The sequence below is a fragment of the Homo sapiens genome, chromosome 10 (assembly GCF_000001405.40).
Source record: "Homo sapiens chromosome 10, GRCh38.p14 Primary Assembly".
In the NCBI taxonomy this organism is placed as follows: Eukaryota; Metazoa; Chordata; class Mammalia; order Primates; family Hominidae; genus Homo; species Homo sapiens.
The window spans coordinates 99379224-99404979 of NC_000010.11; the positions used below are offsets into that span (position 1 = coordinate 99379224).

At 46.0% G+C, this 25756-nt stretch overlaps 2 protein-coding genes across 7 annotated transcripts in view; one reads left to right on the forward strand and one right to left on the reverse strand.

The window, feature by feature from the left end:
* Window positions 1-15107, forward strand: part of CNNM1 (cyclin and CBS domain divalent metal cation transport mediator 1) — a 64975-nt gene extending 49868 nt beyond the window's left edge. For 2 of the 6 annotated variants that reach the window (NM_001345887.2, NM_020348.3), the window contains 4 exons: window positions 8597-8780; window positions 8929-9078; window positions 11083-11184; window positions 12214-15107. In NM_001345887.2, coding sequence (NP_001332816.1) covers window positions 8597-8780; window positions 8929-9078; window positions 11083-11184; window positions 12214-12293 — 516 coding nt within the window. In that variant the 3' untranslated portion in view covers window positions 12294-15107. Of the gene's footprint in view, window positions 1-8596; window positions 8781-8928; window positions 9079-11082; window positions 11185-12213 lie in introns of those variants that run through there. The other 4 variants (NM_001345889.2, NM_001345888.2, NR_144311.2 and 1 more) reach the window with 3 other exon arrangements.
* GOT1 (glutamic-oxaloacetic transaminase 1) overlaps window positions 17647-25756 on the reverse strand; it is a 33755-nt gene continuing 25645 nt past the window's right edge. Inside the window, exons 6-9 of the mRNA NM_002079.3 lie at window positions 24501-24651; window positions 24246-24411; window positions 23357-23499; window positions 17647-18463 (exon numbers count right to left, since the gene is read on the reverse strand). Coding sequence (NP_002070.1) covers window positions 18324-18463; window positions 23357-23499; window positions 24246-24411; window positions 24501-24651 — 600 coding nt within the window. The 3' untranslated portion in view covers window positions 17647-18323. The remainder of the gene's footprint in view (window positions 18464-23356; window positions 23500-24245; window positions 24412-24500; window positions 24652-25756) is intronic.

Sequence of the window (25756 nt, forward strand, 5' to 3'; positions counted from 1 at the left end):
ATACTGTGGTGAAGACAGCAAGCTGCTGCCCTTCGGGAGCTCACAGGCTAATGAGGGAGAAAGACAACAACCACATACATAACCTAGGTAATTTCGGGTCGTAATAATAAGGGCTGTGAAGGAAATAAAGAGGTAATTGGGATCAGTGATTGGGCAGAGAAGGCAAGGAGACTGCTCTTGAAATGGTTATCAGACAGGCCGAGAAAGGACATTTTTGCTGAGACTTGAAAGGGGAGGGGGTGAATGTTCAAGATGGAAACAACAGAGGCTGGAAGGAGCTTGTAGTTTAAGGGTCTGAGTGCCGGCCCATGGTGTGCAAAGGCAGAGGCTCCATGAGAATGTAGCATCACAGGTGGTATCACCTGGTATCTTTAGGCCATAGTAAGGAATTTGGATTCTACTTTAAGTGTGGCGGGATTTTTTTTTTTTTTTTTTGTAGAGACAGGATTCTCACTATGTTTCCCAGACTGGTCTCAAACTCTCAGCCTCCAGCGATCCTCCCACCTCAGCCTCCCAAAGTGATGTGATTACAGGCATGAGCCACGGCACTCAGCCAGAATTTTTAAGTTTGTTTCTCTTTTCATTTATATTAGTCAGTTTTGGCCACTGTAACAAATTACCATAGACTGTGTGGCTTAAACAACAGATATTTATTTCTCACCATTCTGGAGGTTGGGAAGTCCAATATCAAGGTGCCAGCAGATCCAGCATCTGATGAAGGCTCACTACCTAGTTTGCAGATTACCTCTCATTGTATTCTCACATGGTGGAGAGCAAAGAAAGGAAGTAAACTCTCTCTTTTTTTTTTTTTTTTTTTTGAGACAGGGTCTCACTGGGTTGACTAGGCTGGTCTTAAACTCCTGGCCTCAAGTGATCCTCTTGCCTCGGCCTCCCAAAGTGCTGACAAGCTCTCGTCTTCTAAGGGCACTAATCCCATTCATGAGGAATTCACCCTTATATCCTAATCACCTGCCAAAGGCCCCACCTGTTAATACCACTACATTGGGGTTAGGATTTCAACATATGAATATTGAGGGGACACAAACATTCAGTCCATAACCATTCATATCAGAAGTTGAGAAAATCAGTATGAAGATTTGGTTTGCTGCTTGGAGTAGAAAAGTGAAGGAGATTTTGAAGAGTCATGTTCAATGGGCAAAACATCATTAGGCTTTACAGATTGGACAGTACTTTCAGGAGATGGATTTGGCAACTCCTCAGAGGAATGTGCTAAGATGATCACCTAGCATTAGGTTTGTAAGGATTTTCTTAAAACTTGCCGATGGGCTGGGTGCGGTGGCTCACACCTGTAATCCCAGCACTTTGGGAGGCCAAGATGGGTGTATCACCTGAGGTCAGGAGTTTGTGACCAGCCTGGACAACATGGCGAAACCCCGTTTCTACTAAAAATACAAAAATTAGCCAGGCATGGTGGCAGGCATCTGTAATCCCAGCTACTCGGGAGGCTGAGGCAGGAAAATCACTTGAACCTGGGAGGCGGAGGTGGCAGTGAACTGAGATCGTGCCACTGCACTCCAGCCTGGGTGACAGAGGGAGACTCGGCCTCAAAAAAAAAAAAAGAGAAAACAAAACAAAACTTGCCAATGATCTCATATCTCCAACCCTAGAACATAAGGAAAGGGAACATTCTACAAATCACAAGGAACATAAAAGTCTGTTTCCCAACATGAGATAGTTTCAGTGTTGAAAACCCCAAGTCCCAGGTCAGTTCTCGGGTGTAGGTGTCTGTCCTTTTTGTCCAAACAGAAGACTTTGCTGCAATCAGTGCAGCTGAGCAGCACAAAATTTGATTTTTCTTTCCACCTGGATATTTTGAAATCAAGAAGACTAAATGTCAGAAGTAGAGAAGTTGAGAAGAAGGTGGAAACCAATTAAGTGTTATTCAACCAGGTGCAGCAGCTCACGCCTGTAATCCCAGCACTTTGGGAGGCTGAGGTGGGCAGATCACCTGAGGTCAGGAGTTTCAGACCAGCCTGGCCAACGTGGTGAAACCCTGTCTCTACTAAAAATACAAGAAAAATTAGCCAGGCATGGTGGTGGGCATCTGTAATCCCAGCTATTCAGGAGGCTGAGGCAGGAGAATCGCTTCAACCCAGGACACGGAGGTTGTAGTGAGCCGAGGCCATTGCACTCCACCTGAGCGGCAAGAGTGAGACTCTGTCTTCAAAAAAAAAAAAAAAAGGAAAAAAAAGAGTGTTATTCAAAAACCTCTTTAGGCCAGGCGCGGTGGCTCACACCTGTAATCCCAGCACTTTGGGAGGCTGAGGCAGGCAGATCACTTGAGGTCAGGAGTTCAAGACCACTCTGGCCAACATGGCGAAACCCCATCTCTACTAAAAATAAAAAAATTACCCAGTCATGGTGGCAGGCACCTGTAATCCCAGCTACTCGGGAGGCTGAGGCAGGAGAATTGCTTGAACCCAGGAGGCGGAGGTTGCGGTGAGCCGAGATCGGCGCCACTGCACTCCAGCCTGGGCGACAAGAGCGAAACTCCGTCTCAAAAAAAAAAACCAAAAAACAAAAAAAAAACTTTGATTAAAATGGGTAGTTCTCCAAAAAGGAATTCTGTGAGTTCAAGCTCTTTTTTTTAACACAAGTGTCTTTTTTGTTTTGATTTTCTCTTTTCTTTTTTTTTTAATATAAGATTCTGCCTTAGATTAACTTTGAAAATTACCTCCTCCTGATTGATTAGACTGTGTTAGGGACGTTATTTAGGCCACTCATTTATCTACTTCCCTCACCTGTCTCTCCCCATCTTTCCTTCTGTTGTTATTGTGTTTTTTAACATGAGGGTTTTGGGGGAAGCTAAAGAGAAGACTGCAAGATGAGTGTTTTCACAGGGCGAAGCCCCTGTGGTTGGCTGCTGGAAGGTTTCTCAAGGGCTTTTTATATCCAACAGACTGAAGGTCCAGAATTAAGTCCAGGAGTAATTGAACTTCAAGATAAGTTACAAAATGAGATAGAAAGGTGCATCTAATAGTTATCTGGGAAAGGTGTTAAACAAAGCCATGATTAATGGTAGTTAATAAGTTATGAAGGTACCAAAGAATTCTTATGAAGTAAGTTTTTTGAAATGTGTTCTGTGTCATCATTAAGCTAAGACTACTTGGCAGATGTCTTACAGTCTGGACTACGTAACCTTGACCAAGATTCCTCATCACCCTAGATTGCAGCATTGTGTCTTCAGGGATGAATAAACCACTTGAAAGTGAAAACAACATCATACCATGATAGGAGGCCAGGTGCAGTGGCTCACACCTGTAATCCCACCACTTTGGGAGGCTGAGACAGGAGAATCACTTGAGGCCAGGAGTGTGAGACCAGCCTGGGCAACAAAGTGAGACCCCCATCTCTATAAAAATAAATTTTTAAATTAGCCAGGCATGGTGGCATGCACTTGTAGTCCCAGCTACTTGGGAGGCTGAGGCAGGAAGATTGCTTAAACCCAGGAGTTCAAGGTTACAGTGAGCTGTGATCATGCCACTGCACTCCAGCCTGCACAGCAGAGTGAGACCCTGTCTCTAAAATAAAATGACAGGAGACATCACATTAGCCTAAAGGTTAACTTCTGGACACCTTGGCTGCTAAGTCAAAAAGTCCAGAAAGCCACCCTTGCTTTTCACTACTTTCAGAATAAACAGACCTCCGCTTCCTTTGTAGCTTAGTGGGTGATTGGATTCTAAACTGGCCACTCTATAAGAGAAGACAATTTGAACTAAAGCTGTTGCTAATAAATGGTTATATCTACTGCAATGAAGAGGAAACAAAAACATGGAGTCTGTTGAAAAGTGGCTTGATTCCCTCAGTCAACTAATTGATAAGTATTTGTTAAGCATTAACAATGGTTCTGGGTGCCATGAGCTATACTACAGAAATATAAATCTAATAAAAATATATCCTCTGCCTTATAAGTAGATTAAGACCAGTTAGAGAGAGGAAGCTTAAGGTAAGTTAAATAATAGTGACCAATGCAGGGTACTATCTAATTCATTACAAAATTATGTGGAATTTTTTTTTGTTTTTTGACGGAGTCTCACTCTGTCCCCCAGGCTGGAGTGCAGTGGCGTGATCTTCTACCTCACTGAGTTCAACTCAGTGAACTCACTGCAACCTCCGCCTCCTGAGTTCAAGCGATTCTCCTGCCTCAGCCTCCTGAGTAGTCAGGATTACAGGCATGCGCCACCACGCCTGGCTAATTTTTGTATTTTTAGTAGAGACAAGGTTTCACCATGTTGGTCAGGCTGATCTCGAACTCCTGACCTTGTGATCCGCCCGCCTCGGCCTCCCAAAGTGCTGGGATTACAGGTGTGAGCCACTATCTGGAATTTTTTAAGCACTAATTGGCTGGAGAATGTACTTTAGGAGTTTGGAAAGAACAAGAGGAGAATTAAGGCAATGCCATGCAAAGGGACACCCTTAAACAGGTATGGAAGGCAAGTAGACATGGCGCATTCGAGGGACTGGGTAGAGAGAGAAGCTGGGTGGGACCAGTGGTTCTGTCCTGGTGAGTAGTGGGAGTGCTGTTGGCCCTGCGAGGCCAGGTCATCGAAACTGGGCACAGCTGTTTAGGCCGTCCACTAAACCTTCACCATCCAGTACAGCAGCCAGTAGCCATGTATAAATACAGCCATTTAGTTACATGTGGCTGTTGAATGCATGAAGTGTGTCTCTTTCCAACTGATGTGCTATAAGTGCAAAATACACATTGTATTTCAAGACCAGTGCGAAAAAGAATGTAAAATTCCTCACTAATCACTTTAACTAATCACATGATGATGTGAAATTATTTTGGATATATTGGGTTAAATGAAATATGTTATTAAAATTAACTTGTTTTTACTTTTTAAAATGTGACTACTAGAAAACTTTGAATTACCGACGGGACTCACGTTACATTTCTCTTCAACAGTATTACGCTAGATTAAAATAAGTTGTCATGAGTTGTTGAACAAGGGGAAGGAACTGACAAGAAGTGATACCCGAACCTAGAAATGCCTCTGGGAGAGGCAGAGCAGAGTTGCTTCCCTGGATACATTGGCACCTTGTCAACAATTTCTTTTAAGGCAACACATTGACATGGCAGGAGTTCATGATTTAAAAAAAAATTTTTTTTAAAAAGAGAGCTGTGTGAAAGAAAGCAAGGCTGTTAAGGCTGTGAGTCACATAGAGGATTTAGCCATTGGGTGGTACCTTTCCTTTTATATAAACACCCACCAACAGTGCAGACCCTCTCCAGCCCCTCCCCCTCCCCACCCTCACTGCCATACACTGCCGTGCTTCTTCCCACTAGTGTGGCCGTCTGAATCTTCTCTTTAGCATCACTGACAAGTGGTGGCTTAACATCTGTGTGAATGCCTCCAATGATGAGGAACTCGGTACCTCACGAGGAAGTGTGTCCCATTCACTCAGTATTGTTACCAAAAATACTTTCTTCCCGTCCTTTCCTCCCTGACAATGCTTAAAAAGAGGGTTAGAGTTCCTGGATCCTTGATTCCAGGTAACAAGAGGGGCTTATCATTGTTTTTTAAAAACAAAAAGAGGCCGGGTGCAGTGGCTAACACCTGTAATCCCAGCACTTTGGGAGGCTGAGGAGGGTGATGTCACCTGAGGTCGGTAGTTCAAAATCAGCCTGACCAATATGGTGAAACCCCGTATCTATTAAAAATACAAAAAAATAAGCTGGGCGTCGTGGTGTGCACCTATAGTCCCATCTACTCAGGAGCCTGAAACGAGAATTGCTTGAATCTGGGAGGCAAAGGTTGCACCACTGCACTCCAGCCTGGGCAAGACAGAGCGAGACTCCATCTCAAAAAAAAAAAAAAATTAAAAAAAGAGTGGTACAACTCACTGAAGATAAAATCTGGGCAGAACTTTTCCAAAAATAAATTAGTTAAATAATATAGAGCATTTTGCAACAGTAGTCATTCCCAAGAGACTTCCAGCCTGGGGGACGCAGCCAGTCTACCAACTTATAGGGGCCCTGAGCCAGGAAATCCATTTCAAAGCCTACTGAAACAGCCCCTTCCTTCTCTCTTCCTCCTCTCCTTTCTTCACTCACTGTCCCTTTCCTTCTGTCCCGCTTCTCCACTGTCCATAGTCGGAATTGCCTTCCTTCCCCTACTTTCCCTTTTGCTTTATTTTCTTGATTAAGGATTTATTTTTCCAAGACCTAGTCTTGCTTTCACAGAATCTCCAGTCACACTGACTTTGGGGGCAGAGAGGACACTGCTCCTTCCCCCACCTCCACCCTGTGTGTGGCATCAGCAATTTAGACATAATGAGATGGTAAGCTTGACAGCTGTCTTTGAAATGTATGCCCATTATAAAGTCAAATGGTGAGACATGCATGTGGGCATGTTTTAAACAACCATTCCTAACAGTTTCATATAATGGATTCACTCATGTTATCTCATTATCTCTGGGCCTCTTTTATAAGATCAGAGAGGTTAACAATGTGGCCAGTGTATTCATTTGCCCATTGGCTGATTAAAAATGTATATGTATTTGGCCAAGGTCTCCCAGCTTGAAAGTGGCAAAATTGGGACTTGAACTTCAGTTCTTGGCACTGTGTTTCCTGCCATATTTCTTAGGTGAAGGGACATTTGGCCTTTGACTAAACTAGAAGCCAAATCTAAATAACTAAAGAACCCAAACAGAGTAAGATCAACTGCTTTACTGGGCTTACCAAGTGTCATTTAGGGAATTTTCCCATCCTTTGGTGTTAGAGCCAAATTTCCTCATCTTTGGGGGAAATTTTGGAACGTGACTTCTCACTTCCCAACAGAGGGAATTGCAAAAGTCAGGTGTTTTCAACAAGAACATTGAATCGATTGAAGACTTTGGATAAATGCTAAGTGGAGACCTGTGGTTCCATGCCATAAAGCATGGAATATACCATTTTGACCTGAAAAATATCGAAGCCAGTTGTTAACACTTTGCTGCTTTGTCCTGTAAAATCCTTTAGAAGAAAAAAACCAAAACCTGAGTAGTACCTGTAACTAATTTTAACTAGGTCTTAAGTCAGCAGTTCTCAAAGTGTGATCTCCAGACTAGCAGCACCAGGAACACAGGAACTTGCTAAAAATGCAAATTCTCAGTCTCCACCCCAGACCTAGTAAATTAGAAACTCTGAGAGTTAAACCCAAAAATCTTGTTTTAACAAGTCCTTCAGATAATTCTGATGCTGAGGTTTGAGAATCACTGATTTAAACCATCAAGAGAAAACTCTATTTGCCCACTCAAATGGGCAGTAGTATAACTAGAAGCCTGGAATCTCTGCATGTATGTGTCCCATATGCTCTGCAAAAAGGCACGTATTCTTAACTGGTGTTTTGTGATTCGATTGGTTGTGCTTAGAATTTGCTTGGTTCTCTTGCAAAATATCCTGAAGTTGGTTAAAGAAAGGATTGATCGTGTCCAGTAAAATAATGCGTCTTGTCAGTAGTTGACAAGGAGCCACTGTTGAGACCTTGCCGGATACAAAGCCAACTTCAAGCCTACTCTCTTTCCCAACATGTCAGCCTTAACCATCCCCTCTCCTATTTCCAGCAGAAATCTTTTCTCTTTCAACGTGTAATACCAATTCTGCCCCAAAGGAAAGAGAAGGCAAAATGAGCAGAATTTGTGGTTTTGTCCGTTCACTAGCGCTAATGCAGTGAAGGAGGGATGAAAACGCTTTAGGAGATGGTATGATTGGGAAGGATATTATGCCATGTACCATTTCCCTTCTTCCCCCAGTGCCAGCCGCTGATGAGTGGTTTCACATTCCTGTACTGGGTGGCACACAACCTAGTCTGTTTTCACTGCTAGCAAGGATTCACAGTGCCAGTCTGTTATGTACACCCAGAGAACAGGGGTGACAGAGACACCCTCCTGCCTTTTAGAAGAGATATTTGATCCATATTTTTCCTGCCTGGAATCGTGGAGACTCCTGTCTGGTCTGGCTGCAGCCTGACCCTCCGGATGCCTTCAGTTGTGGGTGTTTGACACATCAGGAAAGTCACAAGTCTGACTCCTGTGATTTGAGGAGACAGCTGGGAAACCTCCCTGCTGTGGTCCCAGCCAGCATAGGAGCATGACCCTACATCCAGGGATGGGCTTAGTCCAAATCAGAAATGCCTGTGTTCTCTCAGGCCTTAGCCTCCAGCTTCCCGACACTGAGACCTAGGGCATGAGAGCTTCCCTGCTGGAGTCCTACCTTATTCTCACCAAGTCACCCCCGACTGACCCTTTGGGCCTTTGGCAATAGTATAAATGGGTGTTTTAAACTTCTCCATGGGCAACCACCCTGCTCTCAGAAGATGCCCTCCATCCTCTCCAGGGTCTCAGAAGGCTTGGCTCTTCCAGGTGCCAATAAAAATGAACAGTGGGAGCTGGTGGCAGACCAGCAAAGGGCCGCCTCACTGTCCCTGCTGGACTGCTACAGCGTGGGTAAGGCCCCCATTCGTGGATCTCAGGCCTCAGAGGCCGAGGGTTCCAAGCACCCCAGCGAGGCTGCCCCCGAGCCTGGGAAGGCTGGCTGCATCCGGGTGGTCTCTGCCTAGCTGCTCCTAAGCTCCTGCCCTCTTCCTTCCAGATCACACGGCAGCAATATCAGAACGCACTCACTGCCTGCCACATGGACAGCTCACCTCAGTCCCCTGACATGGAGGCCTTCACAGACGGGGACTCCACTAAGGCCCCCACAACCCGGGGCACACCCCAGACCCCTAAGGATGACCCCGCCATCACGCTCCTCAACAACAGGAACAGCCTGCCGTGTAAGTCAGCTGGGCAGACGGGCAGGCTGGGCTGGTGTGGGGTGAGGATGACCCTGCCTTCCTCTTCTAGCCCTTCCCAGGGCTCACACCACCTGAGCCCTGGGTCTTCTCCAAAGCAGAGAGGTGATGCACTCACTGTCCTCCCCAGGCAGCCGCTCAGACGGGCTGAGAAGCCCCAGCGAGGTAGTGTACCTGAGGATGGAGGAGCTGGCCTTCACCCAGGAAGAAATGACTGACTTCGAGGAGCACAGCACACAGCAGCTCACGCTGTCTCCTGCAGCCGTTCCCACGAGAGCAGGTCAGGGAGGCCAGCTGGGCCCAGTGCAGCAAGGGAGATCATTGCCTTTGGGCACTGGGATGGCCCAGGGAAAGCTGGCTGAGGGGAGCCCTGGGACCGCAGCCCGTGCGTTAAACCTCCGACCTCCTTACACAGCCAGGGAAAGGAAACATTTACTGAGCATCTACCATGCATCAGGCCCTGTCTGATTCATTCTCCTAGGAAAACTGTGTAGGGCAGTATTAGGAGTTGGGTTTCTGCCTGGATTCAGACCCTGGCTCCTTCGTTTAGGAGTTATGCAATTTTAGGCAAGTTATTGAACCTAAGACTCAGTTTTTTTTATCTGAATGGATAAGTATCCTTATGTTAATAGGTATAAATTATGACAGCTATCTTATAAAGTAGCTTTGAGTATAAATGAGATAACATACATAAAAGGCATATTACAGTGTTCAGTACCATGCTTTATAAATGTTACATAGCTATTATTAGGCCTACCTTACAGATTAGGAAACTGATGTCAGCCATCATTCTAACTAGCTGTGGTTTTGACCAAAGGTGTAGCCTATAAGACTTTTCCTGAGGTCTAAGACCATATCACCTCCCTCTGAGACACTGAACACTTCTGCCTTGACAGTGGTGTTGCTCTGAGCTCCCAGGGTCCCAGCAGTCTTGAGAAGCTTCTGTGTTTGCCTCACTAAGATGTATTCCCCAAGCTTTCAGTAGCCCCCTATGCCTGCACCCAAGCCAGCAGTTCCCCCACCCGACCTGTCAGACCTACTTCAGTCCATAGTATAAGACCTCTCAAGTCCAGAGCAACAACCTGAAAAAGTGCTCCAAGATTTTTAAAGTTGGCCGGGCACGGTGGCTCATGCCTGTAATCCCAGCACTTTGGGAGGCCCAGGCAGGCGGATCACCTAAGGCTAGGGGTTCGAGACCAGTCTGACCAACATGGTGAAACCCTGTCTCTACTAAAAAAAACAAAAATTAGCCGGGTGTGGTGGTGGGTGCCTGTAATCCCAGCTACTCGGAAGGCTGAGGCAGGAGAATCGCTTGAACCTGGGAAGCTGAGGTTGCAGTGAGGCGAGATGGCGCCATTGCACTCTAGCCTGGGTGACAGAGTGAGATTCCATCTCAAAAAAAAAAAAAAAAAAAAAAATTTAAAGTCAACAAGACAATATGTTTGAACTTGTGGCTGACCCAGAAAATCTGGGACATACATAGTCACTGTTCCAGGACCTGAATTTAGAACTGATGTTCCTTTTCTGCCCCCAACACCAAATCTAGTAGCTAAAGCACATAGCAAGAAAATGTAACAAAGGAATAAGAATGAAGGCGATGGAGTGGTCTTGGAGATCATCTAGTCCACCCTCGTCCTGTGACATTTGAGGACCCTGGAGGCCTAGAGAAGGGAAATAACTTGCTCAAGTCCAAAAACTGCATCAGAAGCAGGCTCAGCCTCATGGCTTCAGTGCAGTGCCATTTCCAACACACCGCTCTGCCTTAGGTTTTTATTTGCATTGGTGGTAAGGCTTGGCCCCTTCTGGGCTCTCAGATTCTGTAACTCTTTGAATTCCCATTGAGTCCTGCGGGAGAAGACAGGGGCATTGTTGTTGAACCCTGTGGCTTTCCAGGGTTTGTGCAAATATACCAAGGAGACCTCCACCTATCCTCACGTGTGCTTTTAGTCTGGCAAATAGACTGGGTGGAGAACACATTGTTCTCTAAACCCTCTCTCTTGCCAAACAGTGTTTGAGAAGAGGGAATGATTTCTGACTTTGCATGGATCGTTGGATTCCGGCTCCTGTTCTCCATCTTTTTGTTCCTTTTGTGGCACTAAAATGCCTCTTGCTAACTAATGACACCCTGTACTTCCCTGGGCGTCCCTGCCTTGTTACACCACCCTCACCTTGGCTCACGTCTTAAACTTCACTTGCTGAGGGATGTCATCACTCAGAATCACCCTCTCTTGATGCCTGAGTGTGTAGGTTGAGACAACTTGAGTTCTCTCCTTTCCTTTCTCAGCATCAGATAGTGAATGTTGTAACATCAACCTGGATACAGAGACCAGCCCCTGCAGTAGCGATTTTGAGGAAAACGTGGGCAAGAAGCTGCTGAGAACCTTGAGTGAGTAGCTAGTTCTTCACCCAAATGAGAGCCACCCTGCTGATGGTTAGTAGGAAAAGCATGTTAGCATCTTCCTCTTGGGGGAGGAGCCATGGACTCCTCTTAGAAACCCTAATGAGGTACAATTGTGGAAATCCGCAGAAGGGGTTGGGCCAGCACTGCACCCTTGATAGTTTTGGGATCTGTCCCATTCAGTTGTTTGTCCTCTAGGACAGAAGTCTGCACACCATGCCCACAGGTCAATTCTGACCTCCCTCCTTTACTTGTTTTTGTAAGTAAGGACTTATTGGATCACAGACAGATCCATTTGTTATCTATGGCAACAATGTCAGAGTCGAGTAATTGTGACAGAGACCATATGGCCCACAGGCCTCTAATATTTTCTGTCTAGTCCTTTAAAGAATTGGTGTCCAGGAGACTCAATAGAAAGAGAGCAATCTCCTCCACAGATGGAAGTCAATGGTGGAGAGAACAAGGTGAAGATATTCCTTCCTAAAAACAGACCTGGGAACAGATTGCTCTCTCATCCTTGAGGACAACTATGTAATTATGCCCACCTGCCCCACTGCAGAAGGGAGGTTGCTTCAGAGCTAGAGAACGCAGGTCCCTGGAAATGGCTTGCAGCTACAGCCACCAACCCTGATTCATGGGACATCAAAGTCTATGAGATTGGTCCTCTCTGAGGGTGTCTGGCAGTCAGAGGGGCTGGCCCCCAAGGGGCGCAGGAGGCATGGGCCTGAGGTGTTACATGGGCTTTACTCAGTCCCCTCCAGGAAGTCTCAATTCCAGGCACCAGCCTGGGTTTGTGACTTTTCAGAGATGGCATCTTATGTGGAAAGTACGTCCTAATCTTTCAAGATGTAAATATGCCAATATCAGCACCAGCATACAATGCCGGTTAGTTCTAACCAAGCTGTCAAGGGCTTTGTCTCCATTTCTGCTTCTGTTTTGAAAAGAACTCAGACTGCCAAGCAATTATGAATGTTCCTCCAGTGTTACAGGCTGATACTTGCAACTTGTTTTTTTCAGGTGGCCAAAAAAGGAAGAGGTCACCAGAAGGAGAGAGAACCTCTGAGGACAACTCCAATTTAACACCTCTGATCACATGACAGGGCAAAGCCAGCATTCACTGGGTGTGTGAAATTCCAGAGCTTTGGGGGAGAATCCACCCTCCCATCATCTGCTTCCCCCAAGGCCTCCCACAGGTGACAGAATGTTCTGCCTTCCCTTCCATCTCTTCACCCCTAGCTGTCAGTTTGGCAGATTTTCCCTCGTTACCTCCAGTTCGACTCAGAACCTTGACATGGCCATAACAGAAGGAGGTGCCTCTGATAGAACATGCTAGAAATGGTCTTTTCCACAGCATAGTCTGGGACTGGAAAAGAGATGTCTGACTGCAAGCTGACAATGCCACTCTGGGACCCCTGATGCTCTTCTTTGTTCTTTGGGTCCCCTGATGCCATAGGAGACCTATCGTCTTGGAACTTGCCATTCTTTCCTCCAGAACAAAATGTTAACTTTCTAACACATTTCATGCATAGCTTGGCTCAGAAGGTGCCATTGGCAGACAGGCACATGGGAGGCTGGAGTAGGAGGTCTGAAGATTAGTTCAGGGGATGGACCAAGAATTTCCCCCAGAGCTTTAAAGAAGTGGGACTCAGCCATGTTGGCGCGTGATTGACATTACAGCACAGAAAACTGTTAGTGACTGGTTTCCTGTTAGATAAGGGTTCCAGCAGCCTGGGGCAGTATGTCTCAGCTGGAATGGAAAGAATGTGAGATGGAACCTCAAGTCACTGTTTTTACCAGGGACACATCTGTTTTGGCTCCCAATCAGCAGTCTTCAATCGATCAATAATTCTGCTCTGGAAGAGAAGGAACAGGGAGCAGAGAGACCCAACTGGGAGCCAGAGATGGAACTTCAGGTCTTAAGTGCAAATCAAAGCAAAAAACAAACAAAACTTACATGGAAAAACTGTAAGTGCTGAAAGCAAGTTTAGCCATGACAAACCAAAGAGTGCCCAGGTCAGCCAAGAAAGATACATAATCTCATGGGACTTCAGTGGGAGTTACACAGGAATGTTGAAGAATCATTCTTCTTTTTCATGCATTTGTCCTTCTCCCACCCCCTTACTACACCCTAGCAGATCAGCTGAGTGTACTTTATTCCAAGAACTTACTGGATCTCTGGTTTTTCTCCTGAAGTTGGGGCAGGTGCAATTCCAAGCATAACCACCAGATGGCAGAGTGACCGCGCATACCTGCTTCCAAGAATAAAACAGTTCTGAAAAGCAACCGCAAAGCCGGGCGCGGTGGCTCACACCTGTAATCCCAACAGTTTGGAAGACCGAGGCGGGTGGATCACTTGAAGTCAGGAGTTTGAGACCAGCCTGGCCAACATGGTGAAACCCCATCTCTCCTGGGCATGTAGTCCCAGCTACTCGGGAGGCTGAGGCAGGAGAATCGCTTGAACCTGGGAGGCAGAGGTTGCAGTGAGCTGAGATCACACCACTGCACTTCATCCTAGGCAACAGAGCGAGACTCTGTCTCCCCCCGCAAAAAAAAAAAAGAAAGAAAGAAAGAGAAAAGAAAAGAAAAGCAACCACAGCCAGCCTTAGGGAAAACTTGGAAGTAAGTGAAATTTGTCTTCAGAATAACTATCTCCCTTTCTGATCTGTCTCCTACTCTTTAGATGTTCTCAGTCAAGTACTCACTGAACTCATTGATCGAGTGCTGTCTGCTAAATCTCCAAACCATTCCCAAACCTTTCCCCGTAGTATACCATCCAGCTTCCCTCCCCTTCCTCCAAAACCCTCCCTCCCACCTCCCCACACCCATTGAGTCATTCACAGGCAGGAGGGAGACTGATCATTCCTCTGGGTTATCTGCATCTCAAAAGAAAATGCTTACCCACAGGAACTGTTAACTCAGGGGTTCTTAACTTGGGGTCCATCACCCCAGGGGGTCCATAGTTGGACTTCAGAGGGTCTATGAAACCCCTAAAACTGTCAGTATTTAATGTATTTATTCTTGTATGTTTTTTCCAGAGCATTAAAGCTTTCATAAGGTTCTCAAAGGTCTCAGACCTACAAAGAGTTAAAACAAACAGACAAACAAAAAAAAACACTACTATTTTAAATAGTGGAACTTTCAGCCCAGCGTTTCTGCAATGCAGAGTGAAGTGGATACTGGGCAGTTCGAGACAGGTTTTTAATCATAAGTGGTCTTTTCAAATGTCCATCAATTGATGGGGAAGGCTGGCACCCACCAAGAAGTGGAAGTCCTCAGAAATTCTCGGCACACCCTAGAGTATTGTACAACCAACACCCCCACATAACTTTGTCCCCTCTTCCCCAACAACCCAGAGCAGGTGTTGCAGACAGGAGGGCCACAGCGTGTGGAAGTAAAGACTTTGGAGCTAGAGAAGCCTTTTCCAGCAATGATTATTGACTTCACCACACCCCTTGCCTGGCCTGGCCTGAGGCTCAGCAGTGCATGACTTCTCGTAGATAACTTCACAGTCATCCAGTCCCAACACCTGCTCTTGCCTGGTAGGAACAGGCGAAGTGTCAGCCCTCAATGTTGGGTACTTAGACCCAAACCAATAAATGGTGAGTTTTGAACAAGAACTACCATCATGCAGGCTTCTTGCCCAGCTGACCACTGGCCCCGGGGTGCCTGCCTGGCTGGTCTTCATCACCTGAGGCCACCAGGCTCAAGCCACTGCTGTTGCATTACACCCATCCCTTTGCAAAATCCCTATGGAGCCTGTCACCACTCCCCTCCCTATATACCCCCACCCCACAAAGATTTTCTTCAGGTTAAAAAAAAAGTTTAAAAAAAAGATTTTAAAATAAAGCATTTATGAAGGCTTAATAAATTGTAAATAATTTTTAAATAAAATGAAAATGCCTTTCCTGGAATGTGGCTGTTTTCCTTGCCCCTGGAATCTTCTGACGTGGCTTCATTTGAGATGCAGGTTGAGTGATGCCCACGTGTGATGATCTCACCTGTGCACCACCTGCCTGAAGAGGCATGCCGCTCCGGGCCAGGTGTGAGGCTGCGGTGAGGTCACGGGGAAGCCTTGGCACACTACTTTGGGAGGCCAGATGGTAAGATTTTGCAGGAGTGAATGCCAGAAATGAGAAGTAAAACCCAAATGAGAAGCCAGTATGCATAAAGACGAGGAAGGAACTAAGACGACAGTGAGAAGGGCTGGCATTTGCTGAACCCATGTGATGGGTGAGGTGCTGTGCTGGGTGCCGTCCAAATTCAGGGTCTTGGGGGCTAAACCCAGACAAGCCCCTGAGACAGAATGTTGGTCACACTAGCTCGCTTCTGCAGAACCTTCAGAAAGGAGTCCAAGTGGCATGACTCTGGCAGTTTGCAACCAAAGGCTAGGGAACGGAACACAAGAATGGGCCAGGCCTGTTGGTCAGTTTTAAGCCGATGCTGGAGGGAGGGAACAGCCAGGCAGGTGGGAAGATGTGTTTGGGCATATAATACCTGTGTGGAAGGAAGGCTGAAATCTGACACCTACTACTCATTTCTCAAAGCAAACAGGAGGATCAGGGGCCTATGCCAAAACCTCTTAAGATTCTTCTCAGGAACCTCAGTAGAGGCTATTCATTTCACTAACGGTAATAATAAATAATGGAAACAACTATTTTGCCAAGGGCTTTATGTTCCAAGTATTCTGTTAAGTACCCATTAGCTCATTTCTTTCTCAACCACCCTGTGGAGGAGGGGTTACTGTCTGCAAGGTTACTGTCTTCTTGCTCACGGTTACACACCTGGGAACTGGCAGAGCCTGGAGGTTGGAGTGCCCTGCTCTTGAGTGAGCAAAATTGGTGAAACAATCCCACCTCTGAAGTTCACTGGCATGTCAGAGGCCTGAGGAGTCCTGCCGGCTTCCCAAACTCACAGCCCTTTTTCAGGTGAACGCAGTGGGAACCACACCAACCAACATATCTGTCGGAATAGAAGAAGGCCAGATTCCCATTGAGATGGGCTTTTTTCAAGGCTAAAAACATTTGAGCACTTTGGTACTGTCACTTAGATTTAAAGATGTGTTTATCTTTAATGGTTTTGGCAGCCCCCTAAAGAGAAAATTTTAATTTTCCCTAACAAGAGAAATTAAATACTAATAAGATGGTCAGGTAGGATTGCACTTTGGAAGGCAACATTTTAGTATTTCAGGCTTTTTTTTTTTTTGCCCCAGAGAGCCAATTTTCGTCCCCATGGAGGCAGTATCGTCCCCATGGAGAATGAGTGGTTGAAAGCGTTTGGAGAGAATGGCAGATTGACAGAAGGTAGAATCATTCGACTTCTCTGTTGGCTGCCTTCCCTTACTAACAACAAGCATCTTTACATTGGGAGGAGAACAAAGACTGATATGTTCAGAAAGCTGTGAAGAGATGGGTGGGAGGGCATCTAATCACATTCACTCATGAACTTCCACCAGCCCAACCACACACTGGCAGAGTGAGTGTCCTCTGAAGAACTCCTGGGGCTCCAGCCAGACAGGGAAGGATCTGGAAACCACATCCTGTGCAGAAACAAAAGTGGTGGGGGAGAGGCAGTTCATGTGGAAAAGTGTAAACAAGGAATGACAACTGCTACTTTCAAATATTTGAAAGGTGGTAGATTAGAAGTGCCAGTAGATTTACTATCTGTGGTTTAAAGGAAGGAAAGGAGGGGCAGGGGAGTGGAACAAAGATCAAATTCTGGTTCAAGGTAGATGAACTTTTACCGTGAGCAAAAGGTAAATGAGCCTCTTTTTTTTTAATTAAGAGGCCCCACCAGCAGAAGGGGATGCCTCACCAGGTATTTAAAGAATCCATCACCACTACCACCCCACCAGTTGAAATGGATGAGTCAGAGACAATATGGAGAGACTATTTCACTGGCGGAGAGGCAGGACTTGATGACTTCTGAGGCCCCAGTCATCCCTCAGGACTGCAGGATTTTCTAACAACCCAAATGAGTCCTAGAAAGTGGCAGATCCTATTAAAATCACAAGAATTAACTTTAAATACTTAAAAACTCCAATTAATAGACCTCTTGTGTTAAGTAACATCAAACCCCACCAAATTCTACAAAATGGCCATTTGGAGCGGCCCTTGGACTCTGGAAATTGTGATGTATGTTTTTGTGGTTCTGTTTCAATAAACCAGGAGGGACTCTGACAGCAGGGAACGGGCTGATGTTCTATAATCAACCTGAGTGATGTCATCTCCTCTCACAGTCCAAGAAGTCCAGTTTCTTAAGTAACATAAGACAGCTGGCCTCCAAATGACAAGCCCGCAAAATCACCAGGGAGTTATATGGTGAGTTCACTGAAGGAAGCTATACTGTAAGAACACATTGTAGTTTTTCCTTTAGCCACTAGTAAAACCCTCTAAAGCATTCATTTTAAACTGTGGGTCACAACCCATTAGTGGTCATAAAATCAACTCCATGTCTTGATCAACATTTTTATTTTATTTTTTTAGGTGAAGTAGAACACAATAGAATGGCTCAAAAATATCAGAATGCACTACGCACATCACGAGTAAATACTGTTTGGTAAAACTTGTTTCAGTTAAATATGTACGTGTCCGTGCATGTCATGATTAAATATCCTTCTTACCACAGTCACCCTAAAGAACCAAAGCTTAGGACTAGGGACACAACCATGCAGAAAGAGCAGGGAGACCAGACACTCTGGGTTGAGATGATGAATTTAATGCCGCAGCCGACACCCACATTCACACTTTGGCTCCTTCAGACAACTTGATCTTTGGGACTAGAATTTGTACAGAGTCAAACACCACATAGAAGCACGTGGCCGCCACACACAACACTCCTTTTTAGTGAGAGGGACAAGATACCTATGTCTCATGATCAAAGTACTCTTTTATTCTTAAATAAAAATCTTAATTTGCTTTGACCTCCAAAGGCTCTAATCCCAGTCTCCAAATTCGTCTCAAGGGATGTTCTCTTCATGTGGGGCCGGTTTAAACAGAGGCTGCCTCACCAGAGCAGCCTTTCAGTCCTGCAAGTGTCTCTAATCCATGGTATGTACATGTAGGTTTGTGCAGGCAGGGAACACACATGACAGAGAACTACTTTGGTGGTACTGGACGGGTGGTGTTTCTTCACTGGATTTTGGTGACTGCTTCATGGATGGAGGTGGCCACGTAATCTAGATTTTTGGTGGTTAAGCCACTCACGTTGATTCGACCACTTGGCAGCAGGTAGATGTGCTTTTCATTGACCAGATACTCAACCTGCTTGGCTGTTGAAAACCAAAAGAAGACATAATCAGAGCAGAGGGGATCCTTAAAGCAGTGGAGGCTCAGCAATTATATGACAATTACAGCTTTACTTCTTTCCCCTTAACAGAGAGAAGCAAAACAAAAGGCGCTATTTTGTCCAACTGACAAACAGAAAAATATGCTCACTAGATTCTGGAAAGTACTCTTACTAGTTCACCTTTGAATCCCCAGAAAATTCAATATGGCTACTACTGATGGGAATTTTAATCTGAGATTGCCTTCCAACCAAGCCTTATACATTATATCCACCAGGACACCCCTATCACCTAAAAACAACCATCAGACGGACAGCGATATGAAATGCTGGCTATGAAGTGCTTCCTTTAGTTCTTCCCTAACCTGGACTTGCATTGAGTACCCGCGGCAGCCTCCCTTTGACATTTCATTTTTACAATACATTGGGTAAGGCCCCATGCATGAGGTACCTGATCAATCCTGTGTGAATTAACCAATGAGCTGAGAAATGACACAGACCTCTCTGACCTGGCACCATCAGACTTCTGTTCATTTCTCAGCTTTCTCTCAGATGCAGTAGTTTTTCCATGTTTTCAGAAATGCATCACATGTGGGTAAGAAGAGACTACCTGTACTTCCTTTATACAGCAGTCTCTAAAGCAGTTTTGCTATTTGGCAAATCCATTGATAGAATTTTAGTGAATTTGGCTGGGCACAGTGGTTCACGCCTGTGATCCCAGCACTTCAGGAGGCTGAGGCTGGTGGATTACCTGAGGTCAGAAGTTTGAGACCAGCCTGGCCAACATGCTGAGACCCAGTCTCTACTAAAAATACAAAAATTAGCCAGGCGTGGTGGCATGTGCCTATGGTCCCAGCTACTCAGGAGGCTGAGGCAGGAGAATTGCTTGAAACCCAAGAGGAGGAAGTTGCAGTGAGCCGAGATCACACCACTGCACTCCAGCCTGGGTGACAGAGTGAGACTCTGTCTCAAAAAAAAAAAGAATTTTAGTGAATTATTGCTTAAGTAATTAGTACCTTTAAGATACCACCAACCTGAGGAAATGGAATAATAATAGAATCATCATAATCAGAGGAGTAAACACTATGTGCCAGGCAGTGTTCTAAGCACTGCATCTTAGTTCATCCTGATAATAACTTTATCATGCCCATTTTACAGATAGGCCATAAAGACATTAAATGGCCTTCCGAGATTGCACAGCTGGTCAATGGTGGATGTGGGATTTTCAGGCAGGATTTCAAGTCTGGGCTGTACACTGCCCCCGTGATGCTACAGTGCCTCTCTAAGGAAGTGAAAAATCTGGACCCTGGACTCAGTGCTCCTTGAAGGAAACCAAAATAGTTCACCCCAAAATATACTTTGACATATTTTGAGATGGCTGTTGAGAGGGCCTACATACAGAAGTAGCCCTGCAAAGCTGTCTTTTGTGGGAGAGATCTGTATCTGTAGAGAAAATCTGCATGGCTGCAGCTAGGCTTTCTCTGAGGCCCTCCCTTGTCCAGATCTAGGGGAGATTAACTGAGAGTGTGATGCCTTTAAAGGTCTAAAAGAAATAGACCTTTACCGCTATTTTCTCCGAGGGCTGCTACCTGTCTTATCTACATAATATAACAAGACCACCTTTGCTAACCAGGCCTTCTCTTCTCTGCCTGCCATAATCTGTTCTGGCAAGCTCCAAGCTCCCATTCTTTCTATAACCCCAAGATGGTATAAAAGCATCAATCATCTGGCCATTTATTTGAGTTCTATTTTGTAAGACACCTGTGCAAGTTAATAAATTTGCATGCTGGCCAGGCACAGTGGCTCATGCCTGTAATCCAAGTACTTTGGGAGGCTGAGGAGGGAGGATTGCTTGAGCCCAGGAGTTGACGACCAGCCTGGGCATCATAAGGAGACCCTGTCTCTACAAAAAAATCTTAAAAATTAGCCGGGCATGGTGGCACACACCTGTGGTCCCAGGTACTACGAAGGCTGAGGTGGGTGGATTGCTTGGGCCTGGGAGGTTGAGGCTACAGTAAGCCATGATTGTGACGCCGCACTCCAGCCTGGGCAACAGAGTGAGACTCTGACTCAAAAATAAATAAATAAATTTGTATGCCTTTTCTCCTATTAATCTGCCTCTTGTCAGCTGATTTCCAGCAAACTTTCAGAGGGCAAAGGGTAAGTTTTCCCTTGACCCCTCCAAACCAGTGAACAAAGAAAGCAAGCTTAAGAAGAGGTTTACCTGTGTGAATTGGTCACCCAAGGGGATAGAGCCTCAAGCCAACACAGCCCTGGGTGTGCCACTCTTTCTAAAAGCCTGTGCCCTGAGGCAGTGATTAAATGACTCCTACCCTGGCTTTTGGTTTTGTTTTAGTAAAAATGAGGCCTTTCTACTTTTTCAGAGAAGGGAAGTGTCACAGTTTGAAAAGCTAGTAAAAGTTATGGACTCTTTCCCTAGAGCAGGGCCAAAATACACATATACAATTTTTTAAACATCATTTCAGGGGCTTCACAGTTCTCCTAAACGTACATCCAGGGATTCCAGGTTAAAAGCCCCATTCTGACAGAAAAAAGATAACAAAGGAAGTATTGTAATGTGAGAATTGTAGAAACTAGGTGGCGGATATATAGGGGTTCACTGTACAATTCCTCCAACTTTTCTGTATGTTTAAAACTTTTCTGGCCAGGTGCAGTGGCTCATGCCTGTAATCCCAGCACCTTGGGAGACCGAGGCGGGCAGATCACTTGAGCTCAGGAGTTTGAGACCAGCCTGAGCAATATGGTGAGACCCCGTTTCTACAAAAAATTAGCCGGGCATGGTGGTTCACGCCTGTGGTCCCAGCCACTTGGACACTGAGGTGGAATGATCACCTGAGCCCAGGGGGCAGAAGTTGCAGTGGCCCGAGATTGCACCGCTGTACTCCACCCTGGGTGACAGAGCGAGACCGTGTCTGAAACAAACAAACAAACAAAAAAGGCCAGGCACAGTGGCTCACGCCTGTAATCCCAGCACTGTGGGAGGCCAAGGCAGGTAGATCACTTAAGGTCAGGAGTTTGAGACCAGCCTGGTCAACATGGTGAAACCCTGTCTCTACTAAAAATACAAAAATTAGCTGGGTGTGGTGGCTCATGCCTGTAGTCCCAGCTACTTGAGAGGCTGAGGCAGGAGAATCGCTTGAATCCAGGAGGTGGAGGTTGCAGTGAGCCAAGATTGTGCCACTGCACTCCAGCCTGAGCAACAGAGCAAGACTCTGTCTCAAAAAGAAAAAAAAAGTTGGGAGGAAAACAAAACCCCTGTTTTTAATAAGGGCAAATGATGCCAAGCGCTAAAAATATAACTTTTGTGTTATAAGCACAGTTCTATTCTCATCATTTTTCCAATTCGTGATATTAATAAAACTAATTTCCTCCTGTGGATAATGGGAAGATATGGATATTTTACAGGGAGACATTCCCATATTGTGAGCTTTTAGACTATTACTACTAAAGACTATTAATATTTCTGTTACATGTAATATTTTTATAATTGTGAGTGAACTAATTCTCTGTTCCTCAGTCAAGAGGACATCTACAGCTAACTGAGCTATTTCTTTACTTTCTTAGGTAGCTTCATTTTACCCCAAAGTATTTTGAGGGGTCCACAATACAAGCTCTATTAACTGCCATTTATATTTATTTCCTTTGGATTTTTCTGAGCCCACTTCACACTGGCACTGTGATGGCCCCAGTTAAATACCTCCCCACGGCCTCTGCCGTTCTGCCTACAAACCAAGCCAGCCACACATCCCTCCCTAGAGTCACTGGGACACACAGGTGAGTCGCCACATCTGCACTGTGGGAATTACTAAAGAAATGACGCCTGTAATCTCAGCTACTCGGGAGGCTGAGGCAGGAGAATAACCTGAAGCCGGGAGGCGGAGGTTGCAGTGAGTCGAGATCACACCACTGCACTCCAGCCTGGGCAACAGAGCAAGACTCCATCTCAAAAAAAAAAAGAAGAAATGACTCTTCTGTCATCAGATGGGACTGCAGATGGCAGATGTGCCCTACTGACAATTGACCAAGACCATGCATGACCACCTACTAGATTTTCAATCAGCTTTTAATTCCAACCACCAATCTAGGTTCTTTTCTTTTTTTTTTGAGACGGAGTCTCGCTCTGTCGCCCAGGCTGGAGTGCAGTGGTGCGGTCTCGACTCACTGCAAGCTCTGCCTCCTGGATTCAAGTGATTCTCCTGCCTCAGTCTCCCTAGTAGCTGGGACTACAGGCGCCTGCCACCACGCCCGGCTAATTTTTTTGTATTTTTAATAGACACGGGGTTTCACCATGTTAGCCAGGATGGTCTTGATCTCCTGATCTCGTGATCTGCCCACCTCAGCCTCCCAAAGTGTTGGGATTACAGGTGTGAGCCACTGTGCCCAGCCCAATCTAGGTTCTTGTTTATGAAATGCAGAGATAACTTTGTAATCTCTTTTTGAGGATAATACCTAGAAATAAGAAAGACCTGTCAAGAAATCAGTTCCCTGAATAATCATTATATTCAGGATTAAGGCAAACCCAAAATGTACCTGAGCATTTATAAGAACCTTTCATAAATTAAGGCTCCCAGCTACCAATCCTGTTACCTCCCAGCTGGCTCTGAGCCACTTCCCAGCCCACAAACACGGAAATATCTTGGCTGTGGGTCAGCAGGGCAGACCACAATACTCTTCTGAGACCCAGAGAGTTTATGAGATGGTGGGACACCCTAAGAAAACCTAACTTGTCCTGGTCCAAAGCAATGGCTGCCCAATTAGGCAAAGGCTGTGAAAGTGAGCTCAGCTCAAGGCGAGCGACTGAAAGGAATGTTGTGTGTCTACATGCACGCATGGGCTGGAGGTGGTGGGGGCCACTTACGGTTCAACCCAGTGAAGCTGAACATGCCAATTTGATCAGTGATGTGGTTCCAGGTCCCAGGGGTTTTGAGGGCTTCTAGTCGTGCCCTGAGTTCAGATCTCATGGTCAGAATCCGGTCAGCCATTGTCTTCACATTACCTGTCCTGAAGCATGGACAGTGACGTAAATACCAATCCAGACAGGAAAGATGGTACCCGAAAACACACAGGTTTAAAAACTCTAATTTAAACGACAGCTGACAATGGGATCATAACCTGCCTATTATGGCATGTGGATGTCTGGATGGGTGGATTAACATACCAGAGAGAGAGACTTAGGGGGCAGAAGGAAAGGACTGCATTTACTAGTGAGTCTAGTGCTAGTCTTGGGTATACTGGCTAGAATACACTCACATTTCAACTCAGGCTTCACCGAGGTGCTGCTATAGATATTAATAGGGCAATATGTTTCATCAGGACTTACTAAATAAAGATTGCAGATTTAGCTACTATATAAAAATTACTGTTCTAAAATAAGATAAAGTGTATGTAAATTACAGATAAAAACCAAGAGCTCCCAAACTGTTAAACTGCCTAGACGTTCGATATTCTATTTTGCTGGGAATACCTTCTTGGGTTTTCCAACTTCATGGAGAGGAAGACTGGGTGGGGGGGGAAATTGGGGAAAACTACCATTCATCGAGTGCCCCCTCCTGTCTTCCAGGTGTTGTGTTATGCACGTGTGAGGTAGATATCAGCCCCTGTTTTACAAATATCTGAGAGTCAAAGAAGTTAAAGTAATTTTATCCTGCTTCTGCCAAAATGAAAGGAAGAGACCCAGTTAAATGTACTGGGACAATTACTGTTCTGCACTCCCCACCCCCCGGCCCACCAGACTGGGAGCCCCTTACCATTCCTCAAAGAGCTCAGGGTTAGAGAGGGTGCTGGCCACAATTCGTGCTCCCTGGGCGGGGGGATTGGACCAAGTAATCCGCACGATCTTCTCCATCTGGGAAAGGACTTGCAGGATGCTCTCAGGTTCTTTTCCAACCACAGTCAGATTCCCGACTCTCTCATCTAAAGAGAGGGACCAGAATCAGCTGTGGCTGCTGAAGCAGGGAGTGATGCGAGGAGGTGGGGCTGTAACTCCTCAGGAGAGCACTCACTGTAGAGCCCGAAGTTCTTGGAGAAGGACTGGGCACAGAAGAACTCGAAGCCTTCAGACACAAAATAGCGAATGGCCCAGGCATCTCTCTCCAGGTTTCCAGATGCGAAGCCCTGATAGGCTGAGTCAAAGAAGGGGAACAGAAACCGGTGCTGCGGGGAAGCAAAGTGAGTCAGGGCAGGAAATCCTTCTGGCACCAACCTCAGACACCGGCCTTCCTTCCCCAGCTGATGCCTGGAGGGAATTTCAAATGCTGTCCATTTCTCCTATTTCTTGACTATATGCACCCAAGCTCCACTTTACATCCATTTCTCTCTACAACCAACAAGTGTAACCTTTTCCGTAAACTTTACTTTTTAAAAGTAAATTGTCCTAGAGTGTCCCAATTCAGCTTAGAGAAACAGGGCTTACTTTTGATGCAAGGAGACAATGTCCTACATTGTGGATTTTCCTCTGTGAATTTCTGGCGTGAGAGCCTTAGTCAAGTGTAGGCTTGGTATCCCCAGGGCTCCTCATGGGCTATTCTGCTAGGTACTCAAGAGGAAGGGAACAGAGTAGCCTCCATTCCTGTCACTCATCTCCTCAAAGAGCTCTCCACAGGGAACCTGCTTCTACAGCTGTGCTCTCTGAGTGGACACCACTTCCCTCCCCGGAACTGTCCAAATCTTTGGTTGTACTTTGATTCCCATCTCTTAGGTTTATCTTGACTAGGTGGGACTGGGGGGAATCTGGACTCCTAACTCTGCAGCTCATCCCCCACATCCTGGCACTCCCCAAGTCTCATCAGTCCTGTCTCTTCAGAGCTCCCAAATCCTTTTGCATCTCACTGTCCCCACTGCTACCTACTTCATCCAGGTCACCATCAACTCCTACCTGGGCTATGGCAATGGTCTCCTAACTGCTCCCACGGCCTGTCTAGTCTTGCCTCTCTCTGACCCATTCCCTGCTATGACATCAGGGTGGCCTTAAGACCATGCACATCCAATCATGTCACTCCCCGACATCCAAGATTTCAGTGGCTCCGCACTGCCCTGAGAATAAAGTCCAAGCCTCAGCACAGACCCTGCCCCTATTCACTCTAGCCTCATCACTCACACTCCCCATGATGTCTGCCTGGGGCTTCTGACCATGCTCCGTCCTCTGCAGAGCACATCCCTTCCCTGTCAACCCCTGTCTGCTGATGCCTTCTTAGCTCCTCCCCATCCTACAGGACTCAACATAGAAACCACTGCTTCCAGGAAGGTTCCTGCCACCAAC